This window comes from Homo sapiens, chromosome 5 (assembly GCF_000001405.40).
Source record: "Homo sapiens chromosome 5, GRCh38.p14 Primary Assembly".
Taxonomy (NCBI): domain Eukaryota; kingdom Metazoa; phylum Chordata; class Mammalia; order Primates; family Hominidae; genus Homo; species Homo sapiens.
In genome coordinates this window covers 151,194,272-151,212,092 of record NC_000005.10, presented here as the reverse complement: position 1 = coordinate 151,212,092, position 17,821 = coordinate 151,194,272, and the positions used below count along the sequence as shown (strand labels likewise).

Below are 17,821 nucleotides of genomic sequence, written 5' to 3'. Positions count from 1 at the left end.
CCACCCCAGCCCTATGCTCCCCACCCCTCTTTTGGAAGGGAAAATTCTTATGTCCCCCTCCCAACTCCCCCCCCCACCACCACCACCCACGCACACACTGCAGGTGCCGTCTGCTCCATGACCTCTGAGGAGGAAGTGGTCAGGACCCCAACCTGGGGATTTTCCACTCAGTAGTTGCTTGTTGAGACCTACCTAGCTCAGGGTCACATGTCCTCAGGCTTTTGTGTGCACTAGGATCATCTGGCTAGACTGCTAAAGATGGAGATTCCGGCCAGGCGTGGTGGCTAATGCCTGTAATCTCAGCACTTTGGGAGGCTGAGGTGGGTGGATCACTTGAAGTCAGGAGTTTGAGACCTGCCTGGCCAACATGGTGAAACCCCGTCTCTACTAAAAATACAAAAATTAGCCTGGTGTGGTGGTATGTGCCTGTAATCCCAGCTACTCTGGAGGCTGAGGCAGGAGAATTGCTTGAGCCTGGGAGGCAGAGGTTGCAATTGAGCCAAGATCGTGCCACTGCACTCCAGCCTGGGCAACAGAGCCAGACTCCATCTCAAAAAAAAAAAAAAAAAAAAAAGCAGATGCAAATTCCCAGCACACATACTGTAGGTCTAGAATGCAGCCTGGACATTCGTGTTAAGCAAGCTTTCCAGGTGGCTCTAGTACAGGAGGTCCATAGACCACATTCCTAAGAAATACTGTTCTGGGCATCATAACATACTGGGGCAAGTCCAATACAGATTTCAAAATCCTGTCCTTCAGGAGCCCTTTGGGCTAGCAGGAGAGACAGACAGCTAACCAGATGTAGATACTCTCAGGGGTGCCTGGAACATGGAGAAAACAGGAACTAACTCCGCCCCAGGGCAGGTCAGGAGAGAAGCAGAGAAATGGTGTGTGCACTGAGCCTGGGGGCCCGAGGTAGACCTAACCACGCGTCACGGTGGGATGGTCTTGAGCATGTAAGATGTCTCGAACATACAGATGCCTGTGTTGGGGGCAGGCATGTAATAGGTAGCACTAGGTTATTTTAGTTGGGTTTTGACCTAGCAAATTTGCCAACATTTTTTTAAAAAGTGATAATATTCCACATTGGCAAGGTTGCAGTGAAACTGGTCTTTTTCTTTTTTCTTGAGACAGTCTTGCTCTGTCACCCAGGGTGGAGTGCAGTGGCCCAATCTCAGTTCACTGCAACCTCCGCCTCCCAGGTTCAAACAAATCTCGTGCCTCAGCATCCCAAGTAGCTGAGATTACAGGCACGTGCCACCACACCTGGCTAATTTTTGTATTTTTAGTAGAGATGGGGTTTTGTCATGTTGGCCAGGCTGGTCTCAAACTCCTGGCTTCAAGTGATCCTCCCGCCTCGGCCTCCTAAAGTGCTAGGATTACAGGTGTGAGCTACCACACCTAGCTGAAACTGATCTTCTTGCGTGCCATTTGAAGGTGAGTAAATTGGTCGAACCTTCCAATATTAGACATGTAATATTAGATGTGTATAAAATTTTACAAATCAATATGTTTATTTTTTAATTTTAATTTTAATTTTTTATTTTTTGGGACAGGGTCTCACTCTGTCGCCCAGACTGGAGTGCAGTGGTGCGATCTTGGCTCACTGCAACCTCCACCTCCTGGGTTCAAGCAATTCTCCTGCCTCAGCTTCCCAAGTAGCTGGGGTTAGAGGCGCATGCCACTACCGCCTGGCTAATTTTTGTATTTTTAGTAGAGACGGGGTTTCACAGGTTGGCCAGGCTAGTCTCGAACTCCTGACCTCAAATGATCCACCCACCTCTGCCTCCCAAAGTGCTAGGATTATAGGCATGAGCCACCGCACCTGGCCTAAATCAATATATTTATTAAAGCAAATTAACCTGCAAATTAAAAAGTGGAAACAATTTAAACACTCAACAGTGAATGACTAAATTCATCCATAGGGATGTTCTGCTCATCATTAAAATTAACACATTTGCAGAATAGTTAATGCTGTGTAGTAAGTGCTCGTAATATATTTGAAAAAGTAAGATATGAGGAAGTATATGTAATATCATTGCATATGTATATGTAGATGAACAATATATGCCACCAGGTTATGGGGTTCTCTCTGGGTCGTGAGATTTTCTTTCTATATTTTCATGTATTTTCTGTACTTTCTACAACAAATGCCTACTAGTACTTTAACTGGAAGAAGATGTTTATAAATAATTTAAGTATTAAGAAATTGAGGCTGGGTACCTTGGCTCATGCCTGTAATCCCAGTACTTTGGAAGGCCAAGGCAGGCAAATCACTTGAGCCTAGGAGTCCGAGACCATCCTGAGCAGCATGGCAAAATTCCATCTCTACCAAAAATACAAAAATTAGCCAGGTGTGGTAGCACACGCCTGTAGTCCCAGCTACTTGGGAGGCTGAGGCAGGAGAATTGCTTGAGCCTGGGAGGCGGAGGTTGCAGTGAGCCCTGATCACACCACTGCACTCCAGCCTGGGCAACAGAGCAAGACCCCATCTCAAAAAAAAAAAGACAGAAGAAAAAGAAAGAAATTGGAATGGGGGTAGACTGGGGACAGATGGTGATAGCCTTAACTGCCATTCTGAAGGAGTTATCTTGTTTTGTCAAGAGCTGGGGACTCAAGTACAAGGCCACGTGCTGCCTGTGGTCTGAAAGCTGTTTGTGGAAAAGAGTTCTCCACCATTCTCTGGTGGTGGTTATCTGAAAGAAGGCAGCATTTCATGAGATTATGAACTTATTTCAGATGACAAAACTGAGACCCAGGGGCAGCCCAAGAGGTCTGCCAAAGCAGATGACGTGGGATCTTTGTTCTTGCCATGTTTGTGAAACATGGCAATCGTCTTATGCAATATTTGAGCTCTTAGTATGTGCAAGACACTGCAGTTGCATTATTTCATCTCATCCTAAAAGAGCCTCATGAGAAATCCGAGGCATGGAGAGGTCATACAGTCACACGGTGTTGGATTTAGTATTTGAACCCAGATCTGTGTGATTCTAGAATTCTGGAGTTCTTAACCACTCTGCTCTGCAGTCTCTGATATTCTCACACCTGGTTCTAATGCTGATTTGAACATTATGGCACAGTGTGACAGTGTCTTAAGTCTCCCTGAGCCTCAGTTTCCTCGCCTGTAGTGACCTTTACCTCACAGTGCTGTTGAGAGGAGCTGAGATGAGAGCTTAGAGTTTGAACACTATGGGATCATCCAGTTAAACCACCAGACGTCCTCATCCCCACCTCACAGAGGAGGAAGCAGAAGCCAGAGTGGGAAGGGATTTGCCCAAGTTTGTAACAGAGCTGGCACTAGAATCTAGGCCTTCTGGCTCCCATAAAAACATTGTCTGAGTTCAGCTAATCAGTCGTGGCAACAAGGAAGAGACAACCATTTATGTTTATCTCCCTTCTTCCTCCAGCCCAGGGTGGGGAGGCTGGCTGCTGTCACTTCCCCAGATTCCGGAGTTGACAGCTTCTCTGAGTCGTGCCTGGACCAGGCTTCCTCCTCTTCCCTGGAAAGGGAGGATTGAGTCTTCACCAGGGTGGTGGGGGAGCTAAATTGTCAGGTCTGCCCAGCCACTCAGCAGATTTGGGGCACGAGGACCTGGGGGAGGCCCCATGACTCCCTCAGTCCTCCAGGGGCTTACACATGCCAGGCTCTGTGCCCAGCACCATGGGGGAGAAGCAGGCTATTCTAGAAGACTTCCCTTGATACATCTTCCCTCCCCAGTGAGAAGCATGCTTTCTAGAAGTATTTCAGTGGTTCTTCAGTTTAGGACATTTTTAATAATTTTTGTCGAACATTTTCATAGCCTCTTCATAGTTTGACTTGTGTTTTTGTTTGTTTGTTTTTTGAGACAGAGTCTCACTCTATTGCACAGGCTGGAGTGCAGTGGCGAGATCTTGGCTCACTGCAACTTCCACCTCCTGGGTTCAAGCAATTCTCATGCCTCAGCCTCCTGAGTAGTTGGGATTACAGGTGTGCGCCACCACACCTGCCTAATTTTTGTATTTTTATTAGAGAGGGGTTTTTGCCATGTTGGTCAGGTTGATCTCGAACTCCTGACTGCAAATGATTTGCCCACTTCGGCCTCCCAGAGTGCCAAGATTATAGGCATGAGCCACTGTGCCCAGGCCTGACTTGTTTTTTAAAGTGTTTCTTAAAATTGAATCTAGAACATCTTCTTCCTTCCTTCCTTTTTTCCTTCCTTTCTGCCCTTTCCCTTCCTTCTCTCTTTCTTTCTCTTCTTTGTAAGAGAAGAGAAAAGCATACAAAAGGGCTTAAATTTTTTTTACCCAAATCCTGGTCTGGTGACCACCGCCAGACTTCAACCAACTTTTCACCTCTCCAGCATGAGATGAGAAAATGATGGTGTGAGCGAGTGTGTAATGTTCAGTAAGCACGTCAGTTCTCCTTTCCTGGAAGACTGTTCTTAAGCTTTTCCTTACTATATTTTGGAAGACTAAAATGTCCTTTATTTTATATAATGATAGTAATAATCTATAAATAGTTAGGCCGGGTACAGTGGCTCATGCCTGTAATCCCAGCACTTTGGGAGGCCAAGGTGGGTGGATCATGAGGTCAGGAGATCGAGACCATCCTGGCCAACACGGTGAAACTCCATCTCTACTAAAAATACAAAAAATTAGCCGGGCGTGGTGGCGGGCGCCTGTAGTCCCAGCTACTCGAGAGGCTGAGGCAGGAGAATGGCGTGAACCCAGGAGGCGGAGCTTGCAGTGAGCTGAGATTGCGCCACTGCACTCCAGCCTGGGTGACAGAGCGAGACTCCATCTAAAATAATAATAATAATAATAATCTACAAATAGTTTTTTTCAGCATCCTCATCAGCCCATATCAACTCTCCCATTAAAAAATATTACTCATTTGGCCAGGTACAGTGGCTCAGGCCTCTAATCCCAGCACTTTGGGATGCCAAGGTGGGCAGATCACTTGAGGCCAGGAGTTAAAACCAGCCTGGCCAACATGGCGAAACCCCATCTCTACTAAAAATACAAAAATTAGCCAGGTGTGGTGGCACATGCCTGTAGTCTCAGCCACTCTGGAGGCTGAGGATCACTTGAACCCAGGAGGTGGAGGTTGCAGTGAGCCAGAATCACGCAATTGCACTCCAGCCTGGGCAACAGAGCAAGACTCTGTCTCAAAAAGTAAAAAAAGGTCGAGTGCGGTGGCTCACACCTGTAATCCCAGCACTTTGGGAGGCTGAGGCGGGTAGATCACAAGGTCAGGAGATTGAGACCATCCTGGCTAACACAGTGCCACCCCATCTCTACTAAAAATACAAGAAATTAGCCGGGCATGGTGGCATGCACCTGTAGTCCCAGCTACTCAGGAGGCTGAGGCAGGAGAATCACTTGAACCCAGGAGGTGGAGGTTACAGTGAGCCGAGATCGTGCCACTGTACTCCAGGCTGAGAGGTGGAGGTTGCAGTGAGCCGAGATCACACCACCGCACTCCAGCCTGGGCGACAGAGCAAGACTCAGTCTCAAAATAAATACATTAATTAGTTAATTAATTAAATTTTTTAAAAATTACTCATTTATGAAATCTGGGAGCCACTGACACTGCTTTGTGATGCAGAAAGCCCTTTTGTATTACTTATTCCTCTTAGAGGTTTGGGACTTTCACCCCCACCCGACAACCTCTGGGGAGGGGAGAGGGACTAGAATGTCAAATTGATCACCAATGGTCAATAGTTTAATCAATCATGCCTACATAATGAAGCCTCCATGAAAAACCCGAGAGGATTGGGTTTGGAGAGCTTCCGCATAGCTGAACACATGGAGGTTCCTGGATGGTAGCCCCCAAGGAGGGCATGGAAGCTCCCTCCCTTTCTCCCATACCTTGTCCTATGCAGCTCATCATCTGCATCCTTCGTACTATCCTTTACAATAAACCAGTCATTATAAGTAAGTGTTTTCCCAAGTTCTGTGAGCCACTCCAGCAAATTAATCAAACCCAAAGAGGAGGTCAAGGAAACCTCAACTTGAAGCCCATCTGTCAAAAGTTCTGGAGGCCCAGACTTGTGACACTATCTCCAGGTAGATAGTGTCAGAATTGAATTAGAGGACACCCAGCTGATGTCTGCTGCAGCACTGATGGGGAGAGCCCCTCCCACACACACAGAAGTCTTCTTCTGTGTGGATGATTATTGTGGTGTGAGAGCAGAGAAAAAATGGTTTGAGTTTTCTCCAAGCAAAAATCATCTCCGAATTGGGGGTTGGGAGGTTTCTAGGGCACCTCAAGTGCATAGCTGGAGTGAGGGTAATAGCAGGTCCGGCCAGATCCCGGGAGAAGAAAGAGGTGGTCTGAGAGGCCCCCAGGGATGGCAGCAGGAGCCAGACTGCAAGGATCTAGGGACAGGTCAAGCAGTGTCAAACTCCCCTGAGGGTTTCCCTGACAGGGATGAGAAGTCCTGTTCTGGGGCCCCTCCCCCGGTAGAGGGTCTGCTGCCTGGGGCTGCGAGGCAGCCCAATGCGCAGGCGTGGGGCAGGGTCTGGTGTAACTGAAGGTCCTGCCTTGCCTTTGGAAGAGTCCCACTATAGCAGCCCGTCCTCGCATTGACCTCCCACCCTCTACCCACGCCTTGCTGTTGTCTCATTTCTTCCAGAAGCGCCAAGAACCAGAACCAGAACAGCCACCCAGACCAGAGCCCCATGAATTAGGTCCCCTCAATGGGGACACAGGTGAGTAGCCAGCCCCACAAAGGCCCCAACTGCCATCTGTGAGGTTCCTACCTTATAATCAACACAGATGATACAGCTGCTGAAATATCTCATGAGATCTCAGATAGGTTACCTTAATAGGAGTATCGTGTCTAAAATCAGGGAGGTAATTAATAGTCCTGACCTGTGCTTCCCTATTCTAGGCTGTTGATACCACACCTAGAGTGCTATATATGTTTCTGGAAAATACATTTTTAGAGGAATCCAGAAAAAAATTGGAGGGAGTACAATGGAACAAGATCAGACTGGTGAAGAATCTGGAAAACATGTCCTATAAGGAACAGTTAAAGGAACAGAGAATGTTCATCTGGAAAGAAGATGTCACCATAGGGAGGGAGGGAGGGAGGGAGGGATGGGAGCAAGAGTTGAAAAACTGTTGGGTACTATGCTTAGTACCTGGGTGACAGGATCATTTGTACCCAAAACTCAGCATCACCCAATATACCCAGGTAATGAATCTGCATGCGTACCCCTAAATCTAAACAAAAGTTGAAAAAGAAAAATATATACATATATATAAAATAAGTTAAAATCAATTTTAATTTGTAATGGATCATGTGGGAACCTTCTAACTTGAATATCTAATTTTCTTTTTCAAATGAGTAGAGCTAAATACAATGAAATAATATTTGTTTTCTTTTCTTTGAAATGTCCATGGTACGAAAATAAAAATTACTACATCCAGAAAAAAAATATATGTTGCCATAAAACAACAGTTTTCTCCACATGTCTGAAGTGTCCTAATGGAGAAGAAAGATGAGCCTTGTTTAGTGTGATACAGAGGTCAGTATTAAGGCCTCAGGGTAGCAGCAACATGCAGGCAGAATTCAACACAATCTCAAAGAATTTTTTGTGTGGTTGTTGATTTAAAATCATCAGAGCTACCTGGTAATAGGAGGAGCTCCCTATCTCTGAACGTGTTTAGTTACAGCCTAGAGGCTGTTGGGAATATTGTGGGTGAAGTTCAAGTACCGCATAAGTAATTGGACCACAAAATCCAATCTGATTATATATAAGAATTATCCAGGCCAGGTGCGGTGGCTCTTGCCTATAATCCCAGCACTTTGGGAGGCCAAGGTGGATGGAATGCTTGAGCCCAAGAGTTCAAGATCAGACTGGGCAATATGGTGAAACCCCGTCTCTACCAAAAATACACACACAAAAAACTAGCCTGGAGTGGCGGTGTGCCTGTAGTCCCAGCTACTTGGGAAGCTGAAGAGGGAGGATCACCTGAGCCAAGGAGGTTGAGGCTGTGGTGAGCTGTGATCACACCACTGCACTCCAACCTGGGCAACAGAGCAAGACCCTGTCTCAGAAAAAGAAAAATTACCTGGAGAACTTCAAAGATGCAGATTCTAGGGACCTACCACAGACCAACTAAATAAAAATCTCAGATTTGTATTATATATATATAGTATATATATTTTATTTATTAGTATATATACTATATATACGATATATATTTTATATATATACTATATATACGATATATATTTTATATATATACTATATATGATATATATTTTATATATATACTATATATACGATATATATTATATATACTATATATATTTTATTTATTAGTATATATATACTATATAGATTTTATTAGTATATATTATATATACTATATAGATTTTATTAGTATATATAATATATATACTATATATATTTTATTATATATACTATTTTTTATATATACTAAATATGCAGAAGCTGCATATTTAGTACATATATATAACTAAATATATATATTTACTAATATATAAATATATATATTTACTATATATTAAATATGTATATTTACTAAATATATATATATTTATTTTTTATTTTTATTTTTATTTTTTTGAGACGGAGTTTCACTCTTGTTGCCAGGCTGGAGTGTAGTGGCAGGATCTTGACTCACTGCAACCTCCGCCTCCCAGGTTCAAGCAATTCTCCTGCTTCAGCCTCCCGAGTAGCTGGGATTACAGGCGCCTGCCACCATGCCCACCTAAATTTTTTTGTATTTTTGGTAGAGACGGGGCTTCACCATGGCCAGGCTGGTCTCGAACTCCTGACCTTAAGTGATCTGCTCACCTCGGCCTCCCAAAGTGCTGGGATTACAGGTGTGAGCCATCGCGCCTGGCCTACATTTCCTTTTGTGCACAAGCAAGCAGGATAAGGTGGTAGTTAGGAGTATTTGCTGTGGAAACAGATTGTGTAGGTTCATATCCCTGCTCCCTTAATTTTGAACTGGGTGACTTTGAACAAGTTGCATGACTCCTCTGAGCCTCAGCTTCCTCGTCTGTAGCATGGGGGTAATAATATTACTCACGACTATAGGGTAGCTGTGAGGAGCAGGTGAGTCATCCCTCTGAGGCACTTGGAACAGTGCTGGACATGTTGCAGGCATGGTAAGCTCTCAGTCCTCCTATCCTGCTTTTACTATTTTTATTGCCATTGTTTCCTGATTTAATCATCTCAGCCTCACTCATGTGGTAGGTGCCATAATTATCCTGATCCCATGTATTAGGTAACTGAGGCACAGAGAGGATGGCCACTGCCTTAGGTCATACCTAGTATCTGATAGACTCAGTGTGGCATTGGCAGGTCCTGTTTTGGAGTTTCCCGAAGCAGGGGCTAGACTTCCTGTTTGTGTTTCCTTCCTGCTCTCAAGTAGCACCCTCTACTACCAGCTGAGGAGACGCTAAAGGTGAGGGGCCACAAACTCAGATGCTCATGGGCCCCAGCAGGTAAAGCAAATGACATGTGGCCCTTTGTATACATTTTTAATAACAGCAGGAGGTGAAGACTATAGCCAACTGCAGAGCCCTATCCTGGCCGGCCAAAGAGGAGGCAGCTGCTTCTGGCTCCAGCCCCTGGTTGACATGAAGGCATACATTGCCAGTTCTTCTTTGGATTCTTCAAGAAAAATTGGAAATCAGAATTATTAAGTAAAAGCTTCCCAGTTATTAAGTATCAACAACTAATTTTTAAATTATTATTATTATTTTAGAGACAGGATCTCGCTCTGTTGCGCAGACTGGAGTGCAGTGATGCAGTCATAGCTTACTGCAGCCTTGAACTCCTGTGCTCAAACCATCCTCCTGCTTTGGTCTCCCTAGTAGCTGGGACTGCAGGTGCATGCCATCATGCCCAGCTTTTTTTTTTTTTTTTTTTTTTTTAGAGATAGGGTCTCACTATGTTTCCTAGTCTGGTCTCCAACTCCTGGTCTCAAGTGCTCCTCCCACCTCAGCCTCCCAAAGTGCTGGGACTACAGGTGTGAGCCACCATGTCTGGCCAGCGACTAATTTTTTAAAAAATGGGGTAGAACAGGGAGACCAGAGGACAAAATGAGACCATTGGCTTATTCCTTGAAAGAGGATCTCCAAGTCCAAAGAGACTCGAGGGGCTGTCTCTGGAGACTGGTCCCACTCGAAATCATTCTTGAGGCAGAGACCAGAAGACAAAATGAGACCATTGGCTTATTCCTTGAAAGAGGATCTCCAAGTCCAAAGAGACTCGAGGGGCTGTCTCTGGAGACTGGTCCCACCCGAAATCATTCTTGAGGCAGAGACCAGGGTTCTCATCCCTTAGCCCCATTTCCCACACTCTCTCTGCCAGCTCTGACTGTACTTCCACTCTGTGAGTTTTTTTATTTTTATTTTTTTGCTTTTTCATCTCTAGCTATAACTGTCCAGCTCTGTGCATCAGAGGAGGCTGAGCGGCACCAGAAGGATATAACCAGAATTCTCCAGCAACATGAGGAGGAAAAGAAGAAATGGGCACAACAGGTAAGTCCAGGTGCCCCCACCCCCTGTCTTTCTCCTGCTCAGCTAACTTTGGTGAATCCCAGAGTGAGTGCCTACCTTAGGTTTTTGTTGCTGTTGTAAGAGTCCCTTACTCATTTTACCAGGAAGGGAGTCCTTTATCTGTTGAACACATATTTTTATCAGGGCACTGTGTGCTGGGCACATTGGTTAAAACAAGCAGAGCTGGCAGCTGCTTTCACGAAGCTGAGAGTCTATTTGGGAAGAGTAAAAGCTGTTGATGCCACTAGATTAATTGCCTTTCTGGGCCCACCTCATGGTTGGGTGGGACCACGGAACTCGTTCTGGCTGATGCGTTATAGAAAGAAGAACCAGTGTCACTTCTAGGGCAAGCATTTAGTTGCCAGTTCAAGACCCTCAAGGTCTTTCTGTCTAGCTAAGTGACGGGACTGTTGTAATGGCCGCTCTATCAGCCTGATCTCTGGGTGATTATCCCTGGATAATCCTGGATAATCCCTGGCAGCAGAGCTCCCTGCCACACAAAATGGGTAGGTAGTGAGGGCAAAATAAACATTTTGTCTTAAGCCACTGAGACTTTGTCATTGTTTGTTATGGCAGCATAATTTAGCTTATATGACTGAGATGGGACATCAGATGCTAAACACAATTACACAGAAATACTTACTGCAAATATAAGTGCTATGAAAAGTTTACAGTGCCGTGAAAGGACATAATAGAACCCTTAACCAAGGCTGTGGGATCAGAGAAGGCTTCTCTAAAGGGATGACACGGAGGCTTTAAAATTACCCAGAAATGAAAATTGAGGGACATTCTACAGAATTTCCAGCCTATATTAGTCAAATGTCAAGGCCATGAAACATGAGGAAAGACTGGGGAACAATTCTAGATTGAAGGACACTAAAGTGATGGGATGACTGAATGTAACCTGCAGCCCAGGATTTCCTTTTCCTCATTCTAACTTGGTCACTCACCCTTCACCTCTCTTTGCCTCCATTTCTTCCTTTACCAGAGGGAATGGGTAGAGCAGCAGGAAAGATTTGGTGGTGTACACAAGTTTTCTCTAAATTTTCTTTAGTTTAAATTATAAATATGAAATATGTTCAGGGTAAATATTCAAAATTCTGAAATTTAAAGTCACTGCTTTAAGATAGATCTGGGCCAGGCATGCCTATAATCCTAGCACTTTGGGAGGCCGAGGCAGGCAGATCACCTGACGTCAGGAGTTCGAGAACAGCCTGGGCAACATGGCGAGACCACCGTCTCTACAAAAATACAAAAATTAGCCCAGCCTGGTGGCACATGCCTGTAATCCCAGCTACTTGGGAAGCTGAGGCAGGAGAATCACTTGAACCTGGGAGGCAGAGGTTGCAGTGAGCTGAGATCTCACCACTGCACTCTTGCCTGGGTGGCAGAGCAAGAATCCATCTCAAAAAAAAAAAAAGTCTCCGTAGTTATAAACTAATCACTCTATTAAATCACATGGTTATTTATTACTGAAAGATTTTCTGCTAGATTTTATTCACCCAGTCGACTTGCTGGGGGAGATTACTATGTGCGGGGAGGGTGCGGCCTCAGCACTGCCAGGGGTACAGGGAGAAATCGGGTCCAGACCCTGCCCTCAGGTGTTCGCTGGGTGGAAGGCTGTGGCAAGTGCCCCCACACACATTAAAATGGTTTTAGCTTAGACGCATTTTTCAGAAACACACCTTTTATGAAAGGTAAGTTAACTGTATGCAGCTGCTGGTCTTTAGTTTGTTTTGGTAGAGTTACCATGGTAATGTCATTTGGCCCTGACCATTACCTGTGGAATCCTTAACCTTGAGACTTGTAAGGGCCCCAGGTATTGTCAAGTTGAGTCCCTTCATTATACAGTGGAGGGAGCTCATTACCCAGGAACTCAGTGGTATGCTGGGGCTAGAATGCCTAATTTAAGTCATGCCTTGCCTCTGGATATGCCCCATCAGCTGTACCTTACAGGTGGCAAAGGGACTGGAAAACATCTCAAGTGGGGGACAATGAGAATGGCTGGGAGGGTTCAGCCTGGGGAAGAGAAATGTTGGGAATATGGGCCACTATGCTCAGATCTCTGAGGGGCTGCCTGGGTTGAGGGAACAGTCTGGCTCTGTGTGACCCCAGAGGGCAGATCTGGGACCTGATGGTAGAAGTTGGAGGTCACTTGAAACAGTAAGCCTTACGCAAGCAGAGAAACACCATGGGAGGCTTCCTGCCTTGAGGAAGCATCAGGATTAGAATACTCCTAAATCCTTTTCCATGTGGATAATTACATGGGAACCCCCTGCTAAACCCTAAAGAAGGCAAATTCTGCCACGCTTGCTGTGTCTTGGAAGTCTTGTGTCCTTTCTGGGCGTGTCATTCCCATCCCTCAGAGGAAGGGTTAGGACTCTGGTCACCAAGTTCCACGTAGGCCCAGGTGAGGGGATAAGAGATGCTGTGCTGATCCTGCTCAATCTCAGTCCTGCCCGGGACTCTCTGCCCCCAGGTGGAGAAGGAAAGGGAGCTAGAGCTTCGAGACAGACTGGATGAGCAGCAAAGGGTCCTGGAAGGAAAGAATGAAGAGGCCCTGCAAGGTAAGGGTAGAGATGTTCCACTGGCCAAGGTGGTGGGGGGTGCTTCCTTCTGGCCCCACCTGCCCAGTTCACCTGGGCACTCCCACTGTTCCCTCCCTGTCTGTCTGATCCACAAGCAATTGACTCAAATCTACAGGATCCTTGGCCCTAGAGGGTTGATGGACTTTTCCTTTGGGGCATGGATTTAAGAGGCTGGCATCAACCTTTCTTTTTCCTTATTTGAGAGGTATTTTTTTCTTTCCATTTAAAAAGCAATCCATATTTATTAAGGGAAATTTGGAAAACCCAGACAAATAGAAGAATTTTTAAATACACATATTCCATCCCCACGATGATGGTAGCTCTTATTTATTGTTAGATTGATTATTTTGAAAAATGACTTTCTTTCCTCTTATATCACCAAAGGTGATCATCACAGAAAATTTGGAAACTGTAGATTAGACAAAAAGATCTTACAGCACAGTGGTTAACGTCTCATTCTTGGCTGGGCATTGTGGCTCACGCCTGTATTCCTGGCACTTTGAGAGTCCAAGGTGGATAGATTGCTTGAGCCCAGGAGTTCAAGACTAACCTGGGCAACATAGCAAGATGCTGTCACTATTAAAAATAAATAGATAGATAGATAGATATCAAACTTTCCAGTTTGGTAAGATAGATAGATAGATAGATAGATAGATAGATAGATAGATAGATAGATAGATAGATCAATCTCATTCTCTAGAGCTCCAGTCCCTGGGTCTAAACTTCAGCCCCACTGCTTACCAGCTCTGTAACCTTGAAGAAGTTACTTTACCTCCCTAATAGGTTGTTTGTAAGAATTAAACAATTTAATGATAGATAGACCGAGATAGAATTTAGAACAGTGCAAGTTACTTAGCAATAATTCTTAGCACTGATTTTATTATTGAGAAAATTTAAATCATAATTCCACCCAGAGTTAGCCACTGTTACCCCTTTGAAATAGATTCCTTCCATTTCTTTTTCTGTAATATACATAGAATATACATCTATACACACACACTTTGGGGTGAGGAAGTGAATTATTTTTTCCACTTTGTGTTGCATTAGCATCCTGTCATTAAACTCTTCTATACCAAGAGTTTTAGTAACTACATAGCATTCCAATATGCACCCTTGTTCATTTAACTGAGTCCCTTTGTTAGGCATTTAGGTAATTTCAAGATTTTTCTCATTGTCTATAACAGCAATGATACTTACATAATCAACCCCGGTTTTATAACATCTTTGTCACATTCATGATTTCAGCATTAGAATAACATCCTAATAGAATTGGTGTGGTAAAGTTTATGTATATCTATTTTTTATTTTGGTAAAATAGACATAAGATTTACCATTAGTGACATTTAATACATTCACAGTGCCATCACCCCAAAAGGAAACTCCCACCCACCGAGCAGGCACTTTTTTTGTTTGTTTTGTTTTTGTTTTTTTTGTTTTGTTTGTTTGTTTGTTTGAGACAGGGTCTCGCTCTGTTGCCCAGGCTGGAGTACAGTGGCACGATCTCGGCTCACTTCAACCTCCGCCTCTTGGGCTCAAGCAGTCCTTGCCCCTCAGCCTTCTGAGTAGCTACAGGCGCGTGCCACCATGCCCAGCTAATTTTTATATTTTTTTGTAGAGATGGGGTTTTGCCATGTTTCCCAGGCAGATCTCAAACTCCTGGGCTCAAGTGATCCGCCCACCTCGGCCTCCCAAAGTGCTGGGATTACAGGCATGAGCCATTGTGCCCAGCCTAAGCAGTCACTTCTTATCTTACCACTAGCCCCTGGCAACCACCAATCCACTGTCTGTCTCTATGGCCTTGTCCATTCTGGACACGCATATAAACGGGATTGTATAACCCACATGATCACCCACATCTGACTTCTTTCACCTTGGAATGTTTTCACCTTGAAATGTTTCCAGGGCTCATCTGTGTTGCAGCATGCATCTACACTTTGTTTCTTTTTACGGCTGGGTAATTTGCCATTGCACAGACACACCACACTCTACCCATTCATCATCAGTTGATGGACACCTAGGCTGCCTCCACCATTTAGCCACTGTAAATAGTGCCACTAGTACAGGCACCTACTTGAACAGCTGTTTTCAGTTCCCCCTGGGTGTACACCCAGGAGAATTGCTGGGTCATACGATCATTCTGTGCTTAACTTTTTGAACAACTGCCAAACTGTTTTCCACAGGGGCTGTACCACTTTATGTTCCCATCAGCAACCCACAAGAGTTCCAATGGTGGCACATCCTTTTCAACACTTGTTATTTTCTGCAACACCTGTTGCTATCCTAGTGCACATAAAGTGGTTTCGCATTGTGGTTGTGATTTGCATTTCCCTAATGCCTAATTCTGTTGAGCATCTTTTCATGTGCTTCTTGGTGACTTGTGTATCTTCTCTGGAGAAGGTTATGTATATTACTGATGTTACTGAAATTGACCTTGAAAATGCTTTACTGATTTTTCCTTTCATCATGAGTATTCGCATGGCCTTTCCCCAGAATTATTTATCTTCTTAAAACATGGCTGTGGCTGGGTGCAGTGGCTCACACCTGTAATACCAGCACTTTGGGAGGCCGAGGCGGGTGTATCACAAGGTCAGGAGTTCGAGACCAGCCTGGCCAACATGATGAAACCCCGTCTCTACTAAAAAATAAAATTAGTCTGGTGTGGTGGTGTGCACCTATAATCCCAGCTACTCAGGATACTGAGGAGGCTGAGGCAGGAGAATTGCTTGAACCCGGGAGGCAGAGGTTGCAGTGAGCCAAGATCTCACCACTGTACTCCAGCCTGGGTGACAGAGCAAGACTCCATCTAAAAAACAAAACAAAACAACAAAACACATGGTTGTGATTATTTTGTACGTAAAAGTGTATATCCTGTTCTTTTCATTTAACATTGTATCAAATATGTTTCCAAGTAATTATGCTGCTACTAAAATGTTTATAAAGGCAAGACCGTAAAGTACATGGCTTTCCTTATTTCTTGTGAGTCTAGACCTCTAGATCTCAAAACAGCTTTTGCATAATGTTGCCGGTATTTCACATTATGTCCTTAGATTTACCCAGATGGAATAACTAGAACAGAGGTCTGAATGATTTTAAGAATCTTGAAACATATTGCAACATTAGCACACATTATTGCAAACATTGTGAAATGGAATTAAAGTCCTTGCCTGGAAATTGAAGAATTGTGGTTTTGTGGGTGTGGGTGTGTGTGGGTGTGTGTGTGGGTGTGAGTGTGCGTGTTTTTTTTTTTTTTTTTTTTTGAGATGGAGTCTCACTCTGTCCCCCAGGCTGGAGTGCAGTGGCATGATCTCGGTTCACTGTAACCTCCGCCTCCCGGGTTCAAGTGATTCTTCTGCCTCAGCCTCCCGAGTAGCTGGGATTACAGGCACCTGCAACCACGCCTGGCTAATTTTTGTATTTTTAGTAGAGACAGGGTTTCACCATGTTGGCCAGGCTGGTCCCGAATTCCTGACCTCATAATCCGCCTGCCTCGGCCTCCTAAAGTGCTGAGATTACAGGCGTGAGCCACCTCGCCCAGCCGAAGAATTGTGTTTTAATAATACCATACCCTGTTGAACTGGGGCTATCACTCAACCTCCTTGAATCTTGGTTCAGTTTCTCTATCTCTAAAATCTACCTTCTGTACCTCACAAGACTTTATGGGAAAACAACTTTATTCTCCAAGCATTGCTTTGATATTATTTTTAGCGTTACAAATATATTAATAAGAAGAATTTCCTACTGTAACACCCAGGGGAGAAGAGATTGCCTGTCTTGAGTTTTTCCCATTAGTCAGAATTCTTCTATAGTTATTTTTAAATTGTTTGGCACATACTAAGTGCTACATAAGTCTATAATGAATGAATGAAAGCACAGGATGGTGGAAATATATGACATTTTATATGTATGGGGAGAGGTACACAGATAACCAGGAGAGACTAGTGGTGATTTTCCACATTCGATGACCCTTTGCTGTCTTTTTTTTATTTTTTAAATTATCATATAGTAAAATTGACTCTTTTTGAGGGGATGTGCATTTTCATAAATTCTAATGCATGTATAGATTCTTTTTTTTTTTTTTTTTTTTGAGATGGAGGCTCGCCCTGTCACCCAGGCTGGAGTGCAGTGGCGTGATCTCGGCTCACTGCAACCTCCGCCTCCCGGGTTCAAGCAATTCTTTGCCTGAGCCTCCCGAGTAACTGGGATTACAGGCACGTGCCACTATGCCCAGCTAATTTTTGTATTTTTAGTAGAGACAGTGTTTCACCATCTTGGTCAGGCTGGTCTTCAACTCCTGACCTCGTGATCCACCCGCCTTGGCCTCCCAAAGTACTGGGATTACAGGTGTAAGCCACCGCGCCCTGCCGCATGTATAGATTCTTGTAACCATCGCCACAATCAGGATACACAACAGTTTTATCACTCCCAAAAAGCCGTCTCAAAATACCCTTGTATTCACATCCTTCTCCCACCCTAACCCCTGGCAATTACTGATCTGTTCTCCATCTCTGTAGCTTTGTCTTTTCTAGGCTATTACATAAATGAAATAATACAATATGATTTTTTATATTGGCTTCCTTCATGCATCACGATGCCTTTGACATTCATTCCAATTGTTGCATATCTCAATAATTCATACATTTTCATTGTGGAGTTATATTCCATTGTTTACTCATTCACTGTTGCAGGACATTTGAGGCAATTATG

The 17,821-nt window shown here is 44.3% G+C and overlaps 1 protein-coding gene across 1 annotated transcript in view, besides 2 other annotated features; it reads left to right on the top strand.

The window, feature by feature from the left end:
- Positions 1 to 17,821, top strand: part of CCDC69 (coiled-coil domain containing 69) — a 43,041-nt gene that overhangs the window by 12,000 nt on the left and 13,220 nt on the right. The window contains exons 2-4 of the mRNA NM_015621.3: positions 6,618 to 6,693; positions 10,405 to 10,511; positions 13,009 to 13,096. Coding sequence (NP_056436.2) covers positions 6,618 to 6,693; positions 10,405 to 10,511; positions 13,009 to 13,096 — 271 coding nt within the window. The remainder of the gene's footprint in view (positions 1 to 6,617; positions 6,694 to 10,404; positions 10,512 to 13,008; positions 13,097 to 17,821) is intronic.
- Positions 26 to 235: an enhancer, noted in NCBI's record as "active region_23446". NCBI's record gives its function as "activates an Ori minimal core promoter by ATAC-STARR-seq in GM12878 lymphoblastoid cells {active_cell/tissue: GM12878}" and the evidence as "EXISTENCE:reporter gene assay evidence [ECO:0000049][PMID:35858748]".
- Positions 736 to 795: an enhancer, noted in NCBI's record as "active region_23445". NCBI's record gives its function as "activates an Ori minimal core promoter by ATAC-STARR-seq in GM12878 lymphoblastoid cells {active_cell/tissue: GM12878}" and the evidence as "EXISTENCE:reporter gene assay evidence [ECO:0000049][PMID:35858748]".